General features: G+C 35.4%; 1 protein-coding gene across 12 annotated transcripts in view, besides 1 other annotated feature; it reads right to left on the bottom strand.

Annotated features, from left to right (window-relative positions):
* The window catches only part of WDR17 (WD repeat domain 17), a 116,975-nt gene that overhangs the window by 24,544 nt on the left and 72,989 nt on the right, over nucleotides 1–19,442 (bottom strand). For 8 of the 12 annotated variants that reach the window (NM_170710.5, NM_001378103.1, XM_047449569.1 and 5 more), the window contains 9 exons: nucleotides 18,298–18,380; nucleotides 16,203–16,289; nucleotides 12,113–12,277; nucleotides 9,937–10,139; nucleotides 8,316–8,465; nucleotides 8,099–8,229; nucleotides 7,679–7,804; nucleotides 6,305–6,460; nucleotides 2,129–2,193 (listed from right to left, as the gene is read on the bottom strand). In NM_170710.5, coding sequence (NP_733828.2) covers nucleotides 2,129–2,193; nucleotides 6,305–6,460; nucleotides 7,679–7,804; nucleotides 8,099–8,229; nucleotides 8,316–8,465; nucleotides 9,937–10,139; nucleotides 12,113–12,277; nucleotides 16,203–16,289; nucleotides 18,298–18,380 — 1,166 coding nt within the window. The remainder of the gene's footprint in view (nucleotides 1–2,128; nucleotides 2,194–6,304; nucleotides 6,461–7,678; nucleotides 7,805–8,098; nucleotides 8,230–8,315; nucleotides 8,466–9,936; nucleotides 10,140–12,112; nucleotides 12,278–16,202; nucleotides 16,290–18,297; nucleotides 18,381–19,442) is intronic. The other 4 variants (XM_047449570.1, XM_017007694.2, NM_001378105.1 and 1 more) reach the window with 1 other exon arrangement.
* Nucleotides 811–2,010: an enhancer, noted in NCBI's record as "BRD4-independent group 4 enhancer chr4:177077413-177078612 (GRCh37/hg19 assembly coordinates)". NCBI's record gives its function as "activates an origin of replication core promoter dependent on BRD2, P300/CBP, MED14 and CDK7 cofactors, and independent of BRD4, by STARR-seq in HCT116 cells {active_cell/tissue: HCT116}" and the evidence as "EXISTENCE:reporter gene assay evidence [ECO:0000049][PMID:35650434]".

The raw sequence follows: 19,442 nt of genomic DNA, 5'->3' as shown, positions 1-19,442 counted from the left end.
TGTCTCTTGACTCAGCTATTCTAATTGCCTTCTAACTGGCCTCCTCATGTCTGCTATTGACCTTCTCTAATCTGTTCTTGATATTTTAGCTTGTGCGGATATTCTAAATGAAGAATTGATCACATCACTTTCTACCCTATTTAAAATTAAAACCCTTTAATGTCTTGTGTTCCTCTTAGGAAAAAGAAACAATAAAAAAGCTTACTACGTTTACAAGGCCCTAAAATGTCCAGCTTGGGCCTACCTTTTCACTTTCCCTTGGCATCACTTCCCCCTGGCTCCTGCACTCCAGCTACAGCAGCCTCCTTTCACAGAGTTCCTGTACTCTGCTTCCTAAGCCTGGGATGCTTCCTCTAGCCTCTTCACTTGGTTATGTCCTATGTATTCTTTATAGCTCAGTTCATATACACCAATCTTGGTCAGGTTTCCTTTGTTCCAATTTATCTGAGGATACACCACATTTTAAACTCACAGATACCTAACATAGAAAGCAACGTAGTAGCATATTAATATGACTAGATGCTAATAAAATATGTCAATAATCACATAGAATACAAAATATGTTTACTTTTATTCTGCAATATTAACACGGAGTGACTCCACTTTGGTCTTAAATGGAAATCCATTAAGTTTTTGCTGAGATTGAAATAATATTTTGTGAAATAAATATCCTCTGCTAACTTGACTTTCTTAAGGATTCGGTGAGAGCAATAACATTCACAATTGTGCTGTGAGGGTACAGGGACTTACAGCACTGGGGATTCTTAAAGCTCAGGAGAGGGAGCCTAAAATCTGAGGGCTACAATCAGCCTGTTGCTTAACTTACTGTTGGGAGCAGGTGCTAGGGAACAGTCTACTTTCCCATGGCAAATGTGTTAATCCTTCTGAATTTTATGTTTAGCCTTTGATTGATTTTTACTTGTGTCTATAAGAAGCAGTTGATTTTTTGCCACTAAACCTTGTTGCATAAAAGAAAAATCCAAATTTCTGTTTTTAATGTCAGAAGAAAGGTAATTACATAATAATATATAGTACTCTATAAGATTAGCACAGTGATTGGCATATAGTAGGCATTAATAAATATTTGTTAAATGAATGAATAGCATAGAAGAGAGTAGAATAAAATAGAACAGAGAATAATGATACATTGTAGGTTGAAATGTGTCCCTCAAAACAATATGTTGAAGTCCTAACCCACGATACCTGTGAATGTAACCATATATGGAAATAGGGTCTTAGCCGATGTAATTAGTTGAAGTAATATGCGGTCATACTGGATTAGGGTAGGACCTCAATCCAATATGACTCATGACTTATAAGAAGAGGAAATCTGGGCACAGAGACACACAGGGAATAATGCCATGTGCAGATAAAGGAGAGACTGGAGTGACGTGTCAAAAAGCCACAAGATGCCAAGGACTGCACGCAACCAGACACCAAGAGAGAAGCATGGAACTAATTCTTTCTCAGAGCCTCCAGTAGAAACCAACTTTGCTGACAACATGATTTAGACTTCTGGCCTCCAGAACTGTGAGAAAATAAATTTCTGTTGTTTTAGGCCACCCATTTTATGGTAATTTTTTTTTTTTTTTTTACGGCAACCCCAGGAAACTAGCCCACTTGAGAAAAAATCTTGTCGGGTTATTGCATTCTGAAACAAGAATGTTTAGTTAATTTCCTCAGTGGTCAGACCCTTCTTTATCATCAGTGCCTCCCTCATATCCATGGGAAGAAATGGCAGGAATTAGTGCCTACAGAGAAAATTTTTGAGATAATTAATAGAATAGTATTTTACGAACCTATGCTAACCTTCAGAAAATCTTGCCACTTATATTTCAATAGCAATTTATTAATCAGTGAGTATGTTTGCTGATCTGTCCTTCTCTCCACTGACATGGGGAAATTTGCCTTCTGCTATCTTCATCAGAGGTCAAGTCAAATCCAAGAACACCAAAATTACTTGTAACTGATTCATTTCATTTACTGTATCAGTAGATACAAAATTTAATTGTTATTTAAGACAACATAAGAATAAGAAATTTCAAGAGCTACTGCCATATTTATATACTGCTTCTATTCTAACATGATTTTAAAACATCTGTTTTAACACGGACTCTCTCTGCCTTACCTCTGCATTAACTTCTTCCAGTATTTCACAGAGACTCCTGGTGCAATTGACAGGGCTTTGTCCCACTACAATAGAAGGCAAAAAGGGCAGGAGCATATTAATTTTGGTTGCTCTGTGTAATTCTTAAGACACTTAAAAAATAGATTGGTATTTATAATATAGTATTTTTATATTTGAGTTCTTGAGTCCTGATTTGGTACTTTCTGACTTCTTTTTGTTCCGTAGTCTTAAAAAAAATCTTTAAAGAGCACTAATTTTACCTCTGTCAATAATATAAAAGAAGCTGGGCATGGTGGCTGATGTCTGTAAAGCCAGTGCTTTGGGAGGCTGAGGTGGGAGGATTGCTTGAGGCTAGGAGTTTGAGACTAGCCTGGGCAACACAGCAAGACCCTCATGTCTACCAAAACATATATATATATATATATATTTTAATTAGTCAGATGTGGTGGTGCACACTTGTAGTTCTAGCTACTTGGGAGGCTGAGTGGACAGGATCGTTTGAGCCCAGGGGTTCAAGGCTGCAGTGAGTTGTGATCACATCACTGCACTCCAGTCTGGGCCACAGAGCAAGACTTCGTCTCCAAAAAAAAAAAAAAAACACAAACAAATAAACAAAAAAACAAAGTAAAAAAGATTGTATTGACATGGTTAAATTCCAAGTACCCCTCGGTTCCTTAGGGAAGGATTAAATGGCTGCTCTCATCACTTACAAAAGTATCTTGAACTTGATGGAGTTTGAAGAAGTTGAGAAAAATATTTATTTTTTATTGCTATCTTTTAATTCCATTTTCCACAAATTTTTGAAGTCTCTACATATTAAAATATTTTAAAATAAAATATGTAAAATTCTATTATTTAGGGAAAATCCAGTCCTAAACCTGAGAGAAAGAAAGAGAAAAACGGAAGGAGAGACTGAGGGAGAGAAAGGAAGGGAAGAAAAGAAATAGTAACTAAAATATGTACTTTGAAAAATATGTTGACTCATATTCTAATACAACTCCAGAGTAATTTGTTCCATGGTGTTCAAAATATTAACATTTTTATTTCACTGCTACTTACATGAACAAATATACCATCTATTTCTATTTTATCCTTTCCTACTCATTTTAATAAATTTTACTTATTGTCATTTCTTCATTTAACTGATAATATAATACTTGTCTTCATATTTAAAAATTGGACTTCTATTGAAGAAGCTCATTGTTTAATAAAGGCTGATTGTTACTGTTATATGAAAATACAGATTTCATTGGATTCCAGTCTAGAGTGGAACTGAGAGGAAAATTTTCTGAAATATCACTACATGAATCAAAATTTTATTTTAATTAAGGGTTTTCAAAACACTAGGGTTCTATTGCAATTATCACTAGAAAATTGGTAATTAACCAGAAAATAATACGTTAAATTTTAAACAGGCAATTTTTAATACTACGTATTTAAAATCATGTTACCTAAAAGGTATCTTAAAATATGTTTTCAGGGGAAATCTCTCTCTAACAGAAGAAAGAAGTTGCAATGTAGATTAAATTAACTTTGAATTCACCAAGCTCTTTCAATAGAAACATGTCTAATAGATAAGCTTAAAAAAATAAACAACATTCCTAAGAAATGATTACAAACGATTCTATGGACACCCATATTTCTTTTTTCTTTTTTTCTTTTGAGATGGAGTTTCACTCTTGTCACCCAGGCTGGAGTGCAATGGTATGATCTTGGCTCACTGCAACCTCCGCCTGCCGGATTCAAGTGATTCTCCTGCCTCAGCCTCCTGAGTAGCTGGGACTACAGGAACCCGCCACCACGCCCAGCTAATTTTTGTATTTTTGGTAGAGACAGGGTTTCACCATGTTGGCAGGGCTGTTCTCAAACTCTCGACCTCAGGTGATCCACCTGCCTCAGCCTCCCAAAGTGCTGGGATTACAGGCATAAGCCACCGTGCCCGCCTTAGGACACCCATATTTCTAACAACTTGTACAGTTTCATGGATCATTAAGTACATCGATGAACCTGCACAACAATAAAATTATTAAGCTTCCCAAACAGATACCTGATTGAAATAGGCTTTGAGTTAAAGGCAGTTTAAATTATATTTAATCAAATATAAAACCCAGAAAGCTAAAGAATTACACTGTTGTACCAAAATTTATTAATTCCTTTTCTCCTTGACTTTTGATAGATCTTCTCTGCAGTAATGCTGTTTAAAAAAGCAACTTTTAGTTAAATATTTACTACTTTACAAGGAAAATTTTTACATTGCTCCTAAATTAAATACTTTTAAATTTATAATGCCTTTTTGATAACATTTTAAAATGGCACATGTTATTATTTGGGGTCAAGCAGTAATTCATTGTTTTTCTTGAAGTATATGGAAAGTAAAAAGGTGAGCTAAATTTAGTTTTGATTTATTTTAATGTAACCATATTGCTTAGTTTTACTTTATATTATTTACAAGTACTCTAAATATCATGCTTTGTAGCTACACAATTAACTAACTTAAACTTTTTAAAAGATGATAAGCTATGAGATAAGTCCATGCCATTCTAACGGTTGTTTTGGTGAGGCAGGGAAAGGAAGAATTTTCACTGAACTAAAATGCATATACAGAAAAGGGAAAGGTCCAATAAGTTTACACAAACTGAGTATGCCCATGTAATCAACACTCAGGATCAAGAAACAGAAGCCCCATTCTCCCGTGTTCCATTGCAGTCACTACCCATCTACTAAAGGGTAGCAAAAGCATAAATTCATCCTAACCTTTTTGTAAAGATCAGTTTTGTTGATTTAGCCCTCCATTAAACAATCATCATCCTTTATCAGATGATATTCAGCAGAAACCCTTCTTCTGGCCAGTGTGGGATTTAGTTATGACAAGTAGTATTAGCAAGCGGATTCTACTGTGAACAAATTAGCCAACATCGTTTTTTGTTTGTTTGTAAGAAGTTAAGATTCCAGCCTAGGGCGGTAGTTCTCAAACTTCAGCATGCAAGAGAATAACATGGAGGGCTTATGAAAACACAAGATGGCTGGGCTCCAACCCCGCAGTTTCTGATTCTGTAGGTCTGAGGTGAGACATGCATAGGGATCCCAGTGATGCCAATGCTGCTGTCCTGGAACACTTTGATAACTACTCTCCTAACATCTACACTTAATATCATATTGGTAGAGAATCAATTAGATCTGTAAAAAAATAAGCTTCCTTTTTTTTTTTTTGAGATGGAGTCTTGCTCTGTCGCCAGGCTGGAGTGCAATGGTGCGATCTCGGCTCCGTGCAACCTCCGCCTCCCAGGTTCAAGCAGTTCTCCTGCCTCAGCCTCCCAAGTAGCTGGGATTACAGGAATACGCCACCATGCTGGGCTAATTTTTATATTTTTAGAAGAGGCGGGGTTTCTCCATGTTGGCTAGGCTGATCTTGAACTCCTGTCCTCAAGTGATCCTTCCGCCTTGGCCTCCTAAAGTGGTAGGGTTACAGGTACAGGTGTGAAAGTGTGAGCCAGCACGCAGGGTATTTACATTTCTTTCCCTTTTTTTTTTTTTTTTTTTTTTTTTTTGAGATGGAGTTACCCAGGCTGGAGTACAGTGGCACGATCTCGGCTCACTGCAACCTCTGCCTCCCAGGTTCAGGCAATTCCCCTGCCTCAGCCTCCCAAGTAGCTGGGACTAGAGGTGCGTGCCACACGCCTGGCTAGTTTTGTTTTTGTTTTTCTGTATTTTAGCAGAGACAAGGTTTCCCCATGTTGGCCAGGATGATCTTAATCTCCTGACCTCGTGATCCACCCGACTTGGCCTCCCAAAGTGTTGGGATTACAGGCGTGAGCCACCACGCTCAGGCTTTTTTTTTTTTTTTTTTTTGAGATAGGGTCTCTTTCTGTAGCCCAGGCTGGAGTGCAGTGGTACGATCACAGCTCACTGCAACCTCTGCCTCCTGGGCTCAACTGATCCTCTCATCTTAGCTTCCCAAGTGCACACCACCATGCCTGTCTAATTTTTTGTGATTTTTGTAGAGGTGGGGTTTTACCGTGTTGCTCAGGCTAGTATCGAACTCCTGGGCTCAAGTGATCCACCCACCTTGGCCTCCAAAGTGCTGAGCTTTTTATTTTTAATACTTAAAATTGAGTATATTCTTAACGTTTAGACTACTATGTTAAACTCATTAGTTTTACTTTCATAGCACATTACCTCTCCAAGTTCAACCATAAGTTCACAGTATCTCTGAATTTGTCCTAATCTCAAGTGGATTTCAGCAGCTTCCTTCAGTCTTTCCTCTTTAGCAGGTACACCAATACCACCACCAAATTTAGACATCTTGACTGTTGTTAGTTCTTGAGCTTCAGACTGGTTTTAAAAAGAAAATAGAATTTAAAAAAATTTGACATATTTTGTTTTGTATGTGTCACAATAATTTGTTGCATATTTTGAAATAACTAATAGAGCGGAATTGAAATGTTCCTAACACACAAAAAAAGATAAATGCTTGAGGTGATGGATACCCCAATTACCCTGATTTCATCAATACTCATTGTATGCTTGTGTGAAAATATCACATATACCCCATAAACTATTATGCATCCATAATAATTAAAAATTTAAAAAAATTGTTTTACAAGAGTTCATGATAACAGATGATCATATAAACTTTACATGAATACATACTTCAAAAGCATATAGCTCTGGGAAGTAAATATTTAAAAATATTTTTCTCTATAAAATGTGATACGTTTCTAAACATAATATTTTGGGGTGTGTGTGGGGGTGGGACACGGGAGGGGAGAGATTGAACCCCATTGTTCTTAACCCTCTCCAGGTGTTGTAGTTACACAGAACAGATAAAAGGTAATGATAAAGTAATATACAACAGTACAGACAGGCCTCTAGTAAAAACAAAAAGTTACTGGCTTACTTTAATTAGCTCTTCTCCTGTCAAATAGATTTTGTGGTTACAGTCATTAGGTGTTTAGTTTGCGATTAAAGAAAGTAACTTCCTCTTCATGGAAAAAACTGCTCTTTATGAGCATTAGATCCACATCTCTGGCACAACTGTCTCCATGCTCTAACGATTAACTATACATATTTCAGAAAATATACAAGCAATTTTTTCTTTCTGGTGCCAGAATGGGTTTTGTTGTTAGTGCTGTAGATTGCCCCAGGGATGAGGTAACTAGTAGTTTTTACTGAAATTCATTAAGAGCTATAATATGATCATTTATTATAAAACATATCCCAGAACAGCCTATTAGGCCCTCTGAGACTAAAATTAGAATAGTCCACATGTCACAGTCATCTGCTAATAGGGGAAAGATAAAGCATTTCAAGGAGTTCCGAGTGACCTTGAAGGAATTTCATGAGACTCAACCTATGATAACCATGATTGACTTAATCTGTTCTCAAGTAATTCACTTTTATGATTCATTTTACCCAAGATGGATCTCCTCAGTGTTCATTTATTTAAATCTACCGATCTAATCATATATATTTTTAAAATCATTTTTACATTTTAATAGTGAAAAGGCAAAAAATTTGCTTGAGTACATCATATTTGCATATTTTACTCACTGTTCTAAATTTAATCAGATGTTTCAAGTGCATTATTCCTTTGCAGTAGTTCTGAGGAAGTAAGCTATCATCCTGTCCTTTTATCACAGCAACCAAGTTCCATAAATTGTCACTGCCACCTGGAGGCTAAAGAGTTGACAAAAAATAAATATGGAATAGTGAATTAAAAACCTCATAATATTTTGCATCTTCAAAAATATTATAATGCAGGCATATCTAAATTTAAAAATTAACAAAATAACTACATGTTATCTCATGTATTGTTTCTAGTTTTACATTTGCTTTCTTATAGTGCACAGATTATGGTAAGAGTTACCCAATGAATTAGAATGGTACATGTAAATATGTGAATAAAAATAGTTGTAATGATTCATGTTGGCTAAAGGGAAAATATTCGCATTTAATTCCTGTAATACTTACAGATAAACATTCTGAGAACCATCTTAGTTTTTTCACTTGAGAATTAGCAGTTAGTTTTTCTATTTCCTGTCTAATATCTCTTGACACTTTACCACACAGTAGAGGAGGAGTGCCTGGTTCTATAGCATAATCTGAAGAACAGACATAATTCAGTGAGAAAAGATTTCTCATAAAACTTATTTAGAAATAAACTCTAATACATGTATATGTTCCATACCAGTGTTCCCAATAATTTCTTCCCAAGATCTGTCTGCCAGAATATTTATTTGTACAGGAGTGACTAAGGCTGTTAATGACCAGAGTCTCACTGTAGAGTCACGGGAGCAAGAGGCCATAGTGAAGGGGCGACTGGGATGGCAGGTTAAACCTGATGAAAATAAAAACCTATTTTAAGTAAAGTGAACATTGAAAAATATTTTTTATTTATATGTGCTTCATAAAACTTCTACAGAATTGAAGCTATGAAGAAATATTGTGAGTAACTGAAAGGTTCTCAGTCAACCTATCTGCATTTAATATACTGGCTGAAAATAATATAAGAATGCAATAAATTATTTTATATATTCTATAAATATGAATATAAAATTGAATAACCATTAGAGGCTGGAAATGGTGGCTCACGCCTGTAATCCCAGCACTTTCCTGGGAGTCTGAGGCGGGTGGATCCCTTGAGCCCAGGAGTTTGAGATCGGCCTGGGCAACATGATGAAATACCATCTCTACCAAAAATACAGAAATTAGCTGGGTGTGGTGGCATGTGATTGTAGTCCCAGCTACTTGGAAGGCTAAGGTGGGAGGATCTCTTGAACCTGGGAGGTGAAGGTTGACGTGAGCTGTGTTTGCGCCACTGTACACCATCCTGGGCAACAGAGCCAGAGTGAGACTCTGTTTCAAAAAAACAAAATAATAATAAAAAAAAGAAAGAAAGAAAAAAGAAAAAAATTATTAGAAAGCAAATGGTCATGGATGAAAATGTTAAAAGTATATTTCGTGTGGTTAAGCAGCAACAAGTATACTATAAAACCAATAGCATACATAGTATCTGTGAGTTAGTGGATGGGCAGATGACGTTCTAGTTAAAAGATGAAGAGTTGGGGACCTTTCAATTCGAATATCAACAAATATGATTCTCTCCCACACTCAGTCCCGCATTGCCTTGGCTAAAAGGCCATTGTGATCAAGCATATGGATCTGAACCTGATCTAGATTGAGGTTACTTTTTCTAAGAAATCATTTTTGGATTCTTAATCTGCCCATTTACTCCCATCAAAGTTTAAGGATGAGAATAAATACAAACAAGAATGAGAGTGAAGAGATGTGCAAATGGTAAGTAATCTGATTTTCCATAACCAATTAATTATATTAAAAAAACGGGATTATATTAAAAAACAAAACATTGTACTAAACATCCAAGAATAGAGGAATGGTTAAATAAGTGGTATCTACTCTATTACTGATTTCCTGTTAAACAACTTACCTCTGGAGTGATGTCAATGGAAGGGAGAAAAACAAAAGCCATACATGTATATATGCCCATCGCAATATGTGTGCATTGTGTGTGTGTTTGTGTGTACACAGAAACACAGACACACCTGCAGACAGTGGGGAGAAAGACAACACAGTGCTAACAATAGTCATCTTCTGATAATTTTTGTTGACTTTTTCTTCTGCACATTCTGGTATTATAATAATAAACGTGTATATTTTCTAATGTGAAAAATGTTATTGTAAAATAAAACACTGTATAACTTCTTCAAAAATACTGTATTCCTCAGAAGTTATAAGCATCATTAGTATGTCAATATAACAAATACATGAAAGAATGAAAGACACTCTACCATATACATCTGCACCGTGATCATACACAGTATCCACACAAGTTCCTTCTCGAGTGTCCCATACTTTTATAGTATAGTCCCAGCTGCCAGATATGAGCAGATATGGAATCTCAGTATTCCACATTAATCCTCTCACAGGTGCAGTGTGTCCATTAAGAATATTGATGCAAGCATCCTGAGTATAATCCCAGATTCGAACGGTACTGAAAACAGAATATTATGGGTGTGATAACATTCAAGTTATAATGTATCTAGAGTATTAACATATTCTTAATAGAGTATAATAATTATTTGTTAGCTTATCTAGAAGCATTTTATGTCTCAAGATATAAGGTTCTCTTCATTTTAATTTAAAAAATAATAATTGTATATATTTATGTGATATTTTGATGTATGCTTACAATGTGGAATAATTAAATCAAGCTAATTAACAAATTCATCCCCTCACATACTTTTCTTTATAGTAGATGGAAATGAATATTTAACTAGGCTAGTGCTAGCTTATTTAAACATATTTTCCTTCTTGACTTTTACTCATTACTGGTAGTAAACATATTATTTCACAGTTTTTTAAATTATTATTATACTTTAAGTTTTAGGGTACATGTGCACAATGTGCCGGTTAGTTACATGTGAATAAAATTGCTTTGTTAAAACGAAATACCAAAAACAGCTATAACCAAAGTGGAAAATATGACTAATAATACAGATACAGTAATTTAATATATTAAGATGATTTGTAAATTATAAAAGTATAACATGTATGATGATGGGTATTATCTGAAATGTCACTGGATATTTATGCTTTAATCAATACAGCAAATAATTCCTTCATGTTTTTGTCAGTGATATAAGTTGCTTGGTCAGTGTAGAATAAATCTTAGATCAAGTTAAAAAATTTAAATATAACTGGATTCGTGAAATTACTTGTATCTATTGATTGTACAAATGTTACTGAAATTAAAATTTAACTTACAATCAATTTAAGACCTCCAACTGCTAATTTTGCTTAGACAATTCACAATAATTTTTTAGTCACAGATATATGCCAAACTGACAACAAAATAGTAGTACTTCAAAAGTATTACTATTTTGCACTATATAGGAGATAAATGATGTATTCTTATTTCTTAAGGCATATCCCTTTCTGCTTTATATAAAGTTTCATTTCGGCCAGGCGCAGGGGCTCATGTCTGTAATCCCAGCACTTTGGGAGGCTGAGACGGGCGGATCATGAGGTCAAGAGATCGAGACCATCCTGGCCAACATGGTGAAACCCTGTCTGTACCAAAAATACAAAAATTAGCTGGGCGTGGTGGCGCACACCTGTAGTCCCAGCTACTAGGGAGGCTGAAGCAGGAGAATAGCTTGAACCCGGGAGGCAGAGATTGCAGTGAGCTGAGATCATGCCACTGCACTCCAGCCTGGCGACACAGTGAGACTGTCTCAAAAAAAAAATTTTTTTTTTCATTTCTTCTTTGTCCTCTTAAGCTTGCACACGACAATATATCAAAGTATATTACAATCTAAAAATTTTGTTGCTAATTTCTTATATATGCTAACATTTAAATATTTTACATTTGATATACTTTCATAAATAAGAATACATTAAAGGGATTTGTATCAAAATAACTTACTGTTATTGTAGGGGCCACTAGAACAGGTGTCTTTCCTTTCATGACATGTTAGGTAGTTAGGCTTTGAAGTCCCAATGCATGTTTTTTGGTCAAACCCAAGAAAGGCTTTTATAGGCCCCACTGCAAATGAGTGTCTGAGGCTCTCCAGGCTGCAGCGCAGCATCTGTGAGTTCTGCCATGAGTACGGCAGTATAACTGATTTCCCTACCATTCTGACTTATTTCAAGTCATAACCTACAGAAATCTCCTAATTATTTATCTTATTAAATTTGGATTTATGCCAAAAATTCAACGAAAATGCTTAATCATTCAATACTAAATCTGTGGTTCCCAGCTACTCGGGAGGCTGAGGCAGGAGAATCACTTGAACCTGGGAGGTGGAGATTGCAGTAAACCACGATCACGCCACTGCATTCCAGCCTGGGTGACAGAGGGAGACTCTGTATATATCTATATATCTCCTATAAATATGTACATTTCTAGGAAAATATAAGCTTATGATTTTAAGGACTAGAAAATTAGAATCCAAAAATACATACCCATCATCAGAACCACTGCAAAGAATTCCCTCTCTCAGAGGAGACCATTTAACATGAAACACTTTTGCTGTATGCCCACTAAATACTTTCAATGGTTGATCTGAGCTGGTGGCTACATAATAAACACGAACATTTGTGTCTTCACAGCCAGTGGCTATCATGTCTCTGAAATATCATCAATGGAATATTGACATAGGATAAATATGATATATAACTAATAATTAAAGGTATACCATAGTTCTAATTTCTAAAAGTAGAATTTTTGCTTCCTTAGTGAAGTTAGACTAAAAACTTACATATGTAAAAAATCGTGTATAATCACGCTACTGCTCATTTACAGAAACTGCACCAGTATGGTGTGTTTCTTTCTGTGTTTTCTTTTAACTGGTTGAATTTTTATTTTATTTATTTTAGGTCAGAGGTAATGGTATTTCTATTTCTATAAGTTCTTTTTCAAGATGACCAGACTCATAATTTTCTGAATTTTTCTCAAACTTTACATTCTGCAACACTTAGGTCTTAAGAAGCATCCCAAATGGTGAGTGATGACATTTGCTTACTTGCTGGTGGGCAAATTATTATTACATGCCTTAGCCCATTTGTTAGATTGTTTTTGTGGCATGGGTACAAACAACAGTATTCTCACTGAAAGTTTTCTGGAAAAGCTCCCTGCAGACCAGGGTTGTCTGATTGGACAGGAAGTCACAGTCCAGTTTTCCATTCCTTTTTGATGGCTTCCCTTCTTTAAGATGCTTTAACTGTTTGATACAACTATGAAGCCCCTGGAAATAGAATTTGATCTTTTAATGTTCTTTGCTCAGTATTCTCACAATAGTGAGAATAAGCTAAGCAACTACTTGTACCTTCATGATCAAACTTGGAATACTGCTAGGAAAGGAATTATGAGTAGTAGGAAGACCTGTGGAAATCACGGACCTGCCAGAATAGTCTATTTGAGGAACATCTACTCTAACCATCATTATAAACAGTCTCCACATGCTAAACATAAAGAAAGGCAGTTACACACTGTGGATCACAACTGTCATCAAAACCCTTTCAAAACTTCAAACTGTTGACTTTGTCACATGGGTTATAATACTTATATTTATTTAAGCCCACATGTAGAAATACGGCAGTTTGCAAACTGGCATGCCAATCTGCAAATGTGCAGATTACATCTTCTCAAGATCCACTGATAAACAAGACAGTTTCTACATTTGGGAAAATATAATTTGCATATATATATTTACATGCATATATGAGTATATTTTTATATATATGTATATACAGATACATAAAGTCAGAAATGATATCATAAAGATTTAAAGAATGCACATAAAGATATCTAAATTATACAGTCAGAGATACCTTATAAATAAACTTTGGTATGTTCAAGGTTCACTTACCTACTAAGACACTAAGTGGAATATGAATACGGCAATTAAAACATTTTAAAAGGTTTCTAAAATTAAAAATGAAGTTTATTAGATATGCTTGGTAGTAAGCATAATAGTTAAATATAAAGGACTTCCAGTGTCATTTGAAAATATAGCTTTCTTAACTAACTAAACATATTATATTAATATCTAGCTTTTATTTCAACTGGCCAAATGGGTTATTAACTCTATAAAACAGAGAAATAGGAATATGGAACTGTTCTAATTAGTCAGATACAAGGTAATTCTATTCATTTGCATATTTAACAAATATTTATTGAACATCTCCTTTTTTCAAGGCACAGTGAGGGTCAGCAACTGAGTGTTTTGCTAAGAATATGCTGTTTAACACAGATAACGTAGTTGGCGATCTCATAGGGCTTACATTTCAGAGGGTGAGACAGCCAATATGCAACCAGCCAACAAATAAAATTTAATTTTATTATATTAAGTGCTCCAAAGGCATATTATATGGGAAACTTACTTCATATGGGGGTCAAGGAATACTTTTCTGTGGTTTTTGAGCTGAAAGCTGAAGGATGGATAGCAGTTATCTATCTCCCACCCAGGTAGGGTGTGTGGTGTAAGGTGGGAAACAGAATCCTAGGTAAGGGGGCCAGTATAAGTGAACCTTGGGGTGAAAATCAGATGGCTAGTTCCATAAACTGAAAGTGAGTGTGGCTGGATGCAAGGAGTAAGGGAAAGCAAGCCTGGGAATGAGATTAATAAAATAGGAAAAAGATTATTCAGGGACCTTCTTGTAGTGCTTGCTAAAAGTTTTCATTTTATCCTGCAGTTAATGGGAAAGTATTGAAAGATTTAAGCAGTAGAATGGTGTGCTCAGCTCTGTGTCTTAAATGTTCATTCTGACTGCAACATGGAGAGGTGGGGTAGAGAGAGAGGAGGTGATGATAAAGGGTGTAAACTGTAGAACTGACTTAGAAGGTTTCTGCAGGACTCTAAAAAAACCCAAATGTTATTGGTTTAGTGGCAAGTTGATGGTTAGGAAAAAAAAGAGTATTTATAATTTTTTTCTTTTAAATTTGAAACAGGGTCTGGCTCTATCACCCAGGCTGCAGTGCAGTGGCACAATCATGGCTTACTGCAGCCTCGACCTCCTGGGCTCAACCCATCCTCCCACCTCAGCCTCCCGAGGAGCTGTGACTACAAGTGTGCCCCACCAGTTTGACTAATTTTTTCATTTTTCATTTTTTTTTTTTTTTTAAGAGACGAAGTCTCACTATGTTGCCCAGGCTGGTATTGAACTCCTGAGCTCAAGTGACCCTCTGGCCTCAGCTTCCGAAGTGCTTGAATTAGAGGCATGAGCCACCATACCTGGCCAAGATGAATATTTAGACAGAGAAAATTACAGGAATTGGTGGCTGATTGAAAACAGAAAGTGAGATATAAAAAGGTGTAAAAGAAAAGGCTAAGGATTCTGGCTTTAGCAGTTTTCCTTGTTAGCAATATTGGCCACTGAGATGGGAAATACTGGGGATGAGCTGATAGTGAGCTTATTTTGCATATAACCTTAACAGCGTGTAAGGCCGGGCGTGGTGGCTCACGCCTGTAATCCCAGCACTTTGGGAGGCCAAGGCGAGTGGATCACCTGAGGTCGGGAATTCGAGACCAGCCTGACCAGCATGGAGAAACCCCGTCTCTACTAAAAATACAAAATTAGCTGGGCGTGGTGGCGCATGCCCATAATCCCAGCTACTCAGGAGGCTGAGGCTGGAGAATCGCTTGAACCCGGGAGGCGGAGGTTGCCGTGAGCCGAGATCATGCCATTGCACTCTAGCCTGGGCAGCAAGAGTGAAACTCCGTCCTCAAAAAACCCACAAAAAACAGTGTTTTTTACACATTCTTCTGCACTTGATGGAGGAAATACATAGGTCTATCATTTTGTAAAACGTGTGATTTGACTCTGAACACAAGTATAATTAGGCTTTAGTACCTTACTCTATATTTCCCACATTTCATACAAAATAACATAATTCACATTGTTTTTGACAATATCTTAAATAACTTTGAATTTTTAGATATAATTTATATCCCATTAAAAGAGGCTTGAAACACAATATTCTAGGAAATGCAATGAGTTAAAGGTCTGATTTTAGTGGAGATTTGACTTGGATGTAATTTTAAATCTAAGCTGATTTTTACATGATAAATACTTGGCTGTCAAACAAGATTGACCTTTTAAAACCAGGCACTTAAGTTCCACATCGTGGAAAATTACCCAGTGCCAGAGGCATTAGCATCGGGTGGGGGACAATGCAAAGTCACAGTGGAACACTGGCATTGCACAGATTCCTAAGTGAGATTAAAAAAAGGGCCACATTTCTATGATAGAAGCCATACATGCAATGGACTCATTTCCATTTTTCATTAGTTAGCATTATTTTTTTTCCTAAGTATTAGAAAGTTTTTTTGAGAGTAGGAAATCAATATTTGTAAATCATGTAAAAACTTCATGGAATAAAAATAACTAAAATAAATGAGCAATTACAAGGCTGTTTCTCATTTGCTAGGCAAAGGGGATATTGTATAAATAGAGTGATAGATATTACCTTTGGAAATAGCACTAAACTTTATGGTTATTTAAAATTTCCAAAATGTAGTTATTATTTATTTCAGGAAAAAAAACCACTTACTTATTGTTTTGGCTCCAATCACAACCAAACACTGCAGCTGGATGTTTATATTTGTGTAGCACTTTACCATCAATTGTTCGAATAATACTAGAATTAATTATAATATGTTAATAGAAAAACAATACTCTAAATACATTATTCAAGGAAACAAAGTCAGAATTGTAAATTTCAAATAGAAATATTCCAGGATAGAGATTTTGTCTACAAAGCAAAAAGAACATTTGAAAGTACTGTATAAATGTTACCAATTATAAGTATATTTGCAACTCTTAATATTAATTATGGTAACCTACAATTAATATAAGGTAATAAATTTTGATTTAAAAACTATTTTCTTGGCCGGGCACGGTGGCTCATGCCTATAATCCCAGCACTTGGGGAGGTCGAGGCGGGTGGATCACTTGAGGTCAGGGGTTCAAGACCAGCCTGGCCAACATGGTGAAACCCCATCTCTACCAAAAAATACAAAAAAAGTAGCCAGGCGTGGTGGTGCACACCTGTGGTCTCAGCTACTCAGGAGGCTGAGGCAGGAGGATCACTTGAACCCAGGAGGTGAAGGTTGCAGTGAGCTGGGATTGCACCACTGCACTCCAGCCTGAGCGATGGAAAAACAACAAAAACGCTTTTTCTTATAGAATTTTTTTAAATTGAGGAAAACATAGTGTAATACATTTTAAAACATAATCATATAATTAACATATACATTAGATTTTTAGCTTCAAAATGAGGTAGTTCAAAATTTATAGTGTTTAAAACAACTATTTATGAAGTTGGTTTTATGTACCATTGCACCAAAACCAAGACATTAAGTTATAACTTTTCATTGTATATTCTCAGCAATATAACTAAAATTCAGAGATGATCCCCCATCCCCTGCCATAAGAAAAGGATTCTATATAATTTAACTGCAAAAATAAAAGCTCTACTATCCTAGTCTATTATTACCACAGTGCAAAAGCTATTGATTCCATCAGAAAAAAAGCGTGTACTAATTAATGTATTATGAAGTTTTAGAAGTGTATGGAAAAGACTGTCTTAAATGTTATTAGGCCCACCAACACTTTTGAGGTTACTGGGGATTGATGGTGACTTATGCTTACAGGTGTTTAGTCACTGAAAGTGATATCTGTCAAATATATAATGCCTTGAAATACATGGTCAAACTAATTTTGTATCACTTAATCAAAAAACTCTTAGGCACTTTTGTATTTTGGTATCTATCAATTAGCACATAGTTCCTTTCAAGGAAAAAAAAATCACTAATATTGTTGTTTCTGAAAATTTTAACTTCCCGGTAAGGATCTTTGGTTTCCATAACTACTGTCTTTTCTACTGAAATTAAAAAGTGAGGATGAGAAGACTGGAGTGGCTTTAGCAAAACCTAACAACTTCTGTATTCTCAAGAACTATGAGTGTCTATACCACCTATCCACCTATCGAAGATGGCTATACCCATAGACAGCTACAGGGGAGGAGCATCTGATTTTAAAAAGTTTTTTAAACCAGGCATTTTTTCCTTACATATTTTTATTTGAAAACTTACTTATTTCTGGAACTTAACAGAATTAAGAAAGCACATATTTCTAAAACACAGGGTCAGTGAAGTTATTTCCTAACAAAAGGCATTTCCCACATGCATGACTTTATTTCTCCTTGCAAAGGCTTTTTATCCCTTTATAAATAAAAGCATCTACACAACTATAAACAAGTTTTTACGGCACTTAATATATGCTGAATCACCTGTGAAACCAAAATACTACTCTCCAAACAATGTGATGATAATTATTAAGACTGTGAAAAGTCCTTAAAGTTTCTTTGAGGCAAAGAAATGAGTCTTTTCATAATAATTCAAGTAGTATTTTCATTGAGAAAGCAATTGAATGCCTCATTAAACAAATTTTAAATACCCTTGCATTGTTATTTATTAATGATACATCATAGCAATATAGTATGTGCCTATATGGGCTTAAAAATAACGCCTCTGAGAGTTGGTAGAGCTGTACAAATGAAATCTCATGGATACACAGTTGGAATGATCAAATGAGTGCTTTATAAACAGTGTAATTTCATATCATGTATCATACATAGTACTTACCAGAAACCATCACTGCTGCAGGTTGCTATTCTTTTAGAATCTTTATGACTCCAGGCAATGCAGAATATTCCATTTGTTCCATGCTTCAAAAAATGTAAAATACCTATCAATAAGAAATAATTCACCCCTTTTTTCTCTTATATATTTACTTCTTCTAAGTATTACTTTTCTGTTAGGAATGTGCTTTAGATGACACTAACAGAGGCATTACTGTCAAGAGCAGAAACCTGATTATACACTTTAAAAATGTCTAAAGCTGTCACAATTTAAAAGTGTTTTAAGATACCAATCTGTTGTTTTAAGACATAAATCAGGTGGCTCCATTTCTTTTTGTTGGATACAAGGTAAAGAGTCAAAATGTCCTTCTTAAGTCATCTGTAGAATTAAGCTCTGCTTAATGCCTTTTCCCATGAGTACCAGTATGGTGATGAAAACAGTTATCTATCTGCTTCCAAACACAGTGCTACTTCAACCACAGTATAAGAAATGTTGCAAGCAGTTATTATTGGTTGTTTCTCTAAGTTTCAAAGTTCTATTTTATAAAGAAATCAGAATAGATTTCATGTTATTCCTATAATAAATCACTTTATATTTGCTTGATTTTCTGCTTTCTAGGACTGAGGAAGGGCCAGGGGATATAGTTAATAGATGGAATTATAAGAATTTTTAAAACTAGAAGGAATATATTACACATGAGAATGTCATTCATCAACGGTGTGATCAGTAAATAAAAGTTGTAATCAACCCATTTCTAAATTTTAATTAAAAACAGTTCTACTTTATATAGTACTTAAATTCCATTAAGAGGAAACTAAAGTGACTTTTTATCTTGTAGCTTAAGGTTGCTGTGTAAATATAGTTTTAACTTCTTAAAGCAATCTCCAGTTTGCTGTTTTACCTCTTTGGGGATCAAAGAGGGTAGGTTTATGCAGGCAGATTTAAAAATGGGACTAGTCCTTTTATTCATTCAGTTTATAGGGTGGAGGCCTTCTGTCAGCTTCATTTATTCCCATGAAAATTGCATTTATGACTCTCTACTATCCCATAATTCTTTTTGTGGAACACACGTAGCTTAGTTAATTAATGCTGGCATTGTTAATTTTTCCCTTATTTATGACATAGGATTTAAGCAATTTCGCTAGTGA

The sequence above is a fragment of the Homo sapiens genome, chromosome 4 (genome assembly GCF_000001405.40).
Source record: "Homo sapiens chromosome 4, GRCh38.p14 Primary Assembly".
NCBI classification, from domain to species: Eukaryota; Metazoa; Chordata; class Mammalia; order Primates; family Hominidae; genus Homo; species Homo sapiens.
The sequence above is the reverse complement of the archived record's forward strand: the minus strand, read 5'-3'. Positions and strand labels throughout refer to the sequence as shown.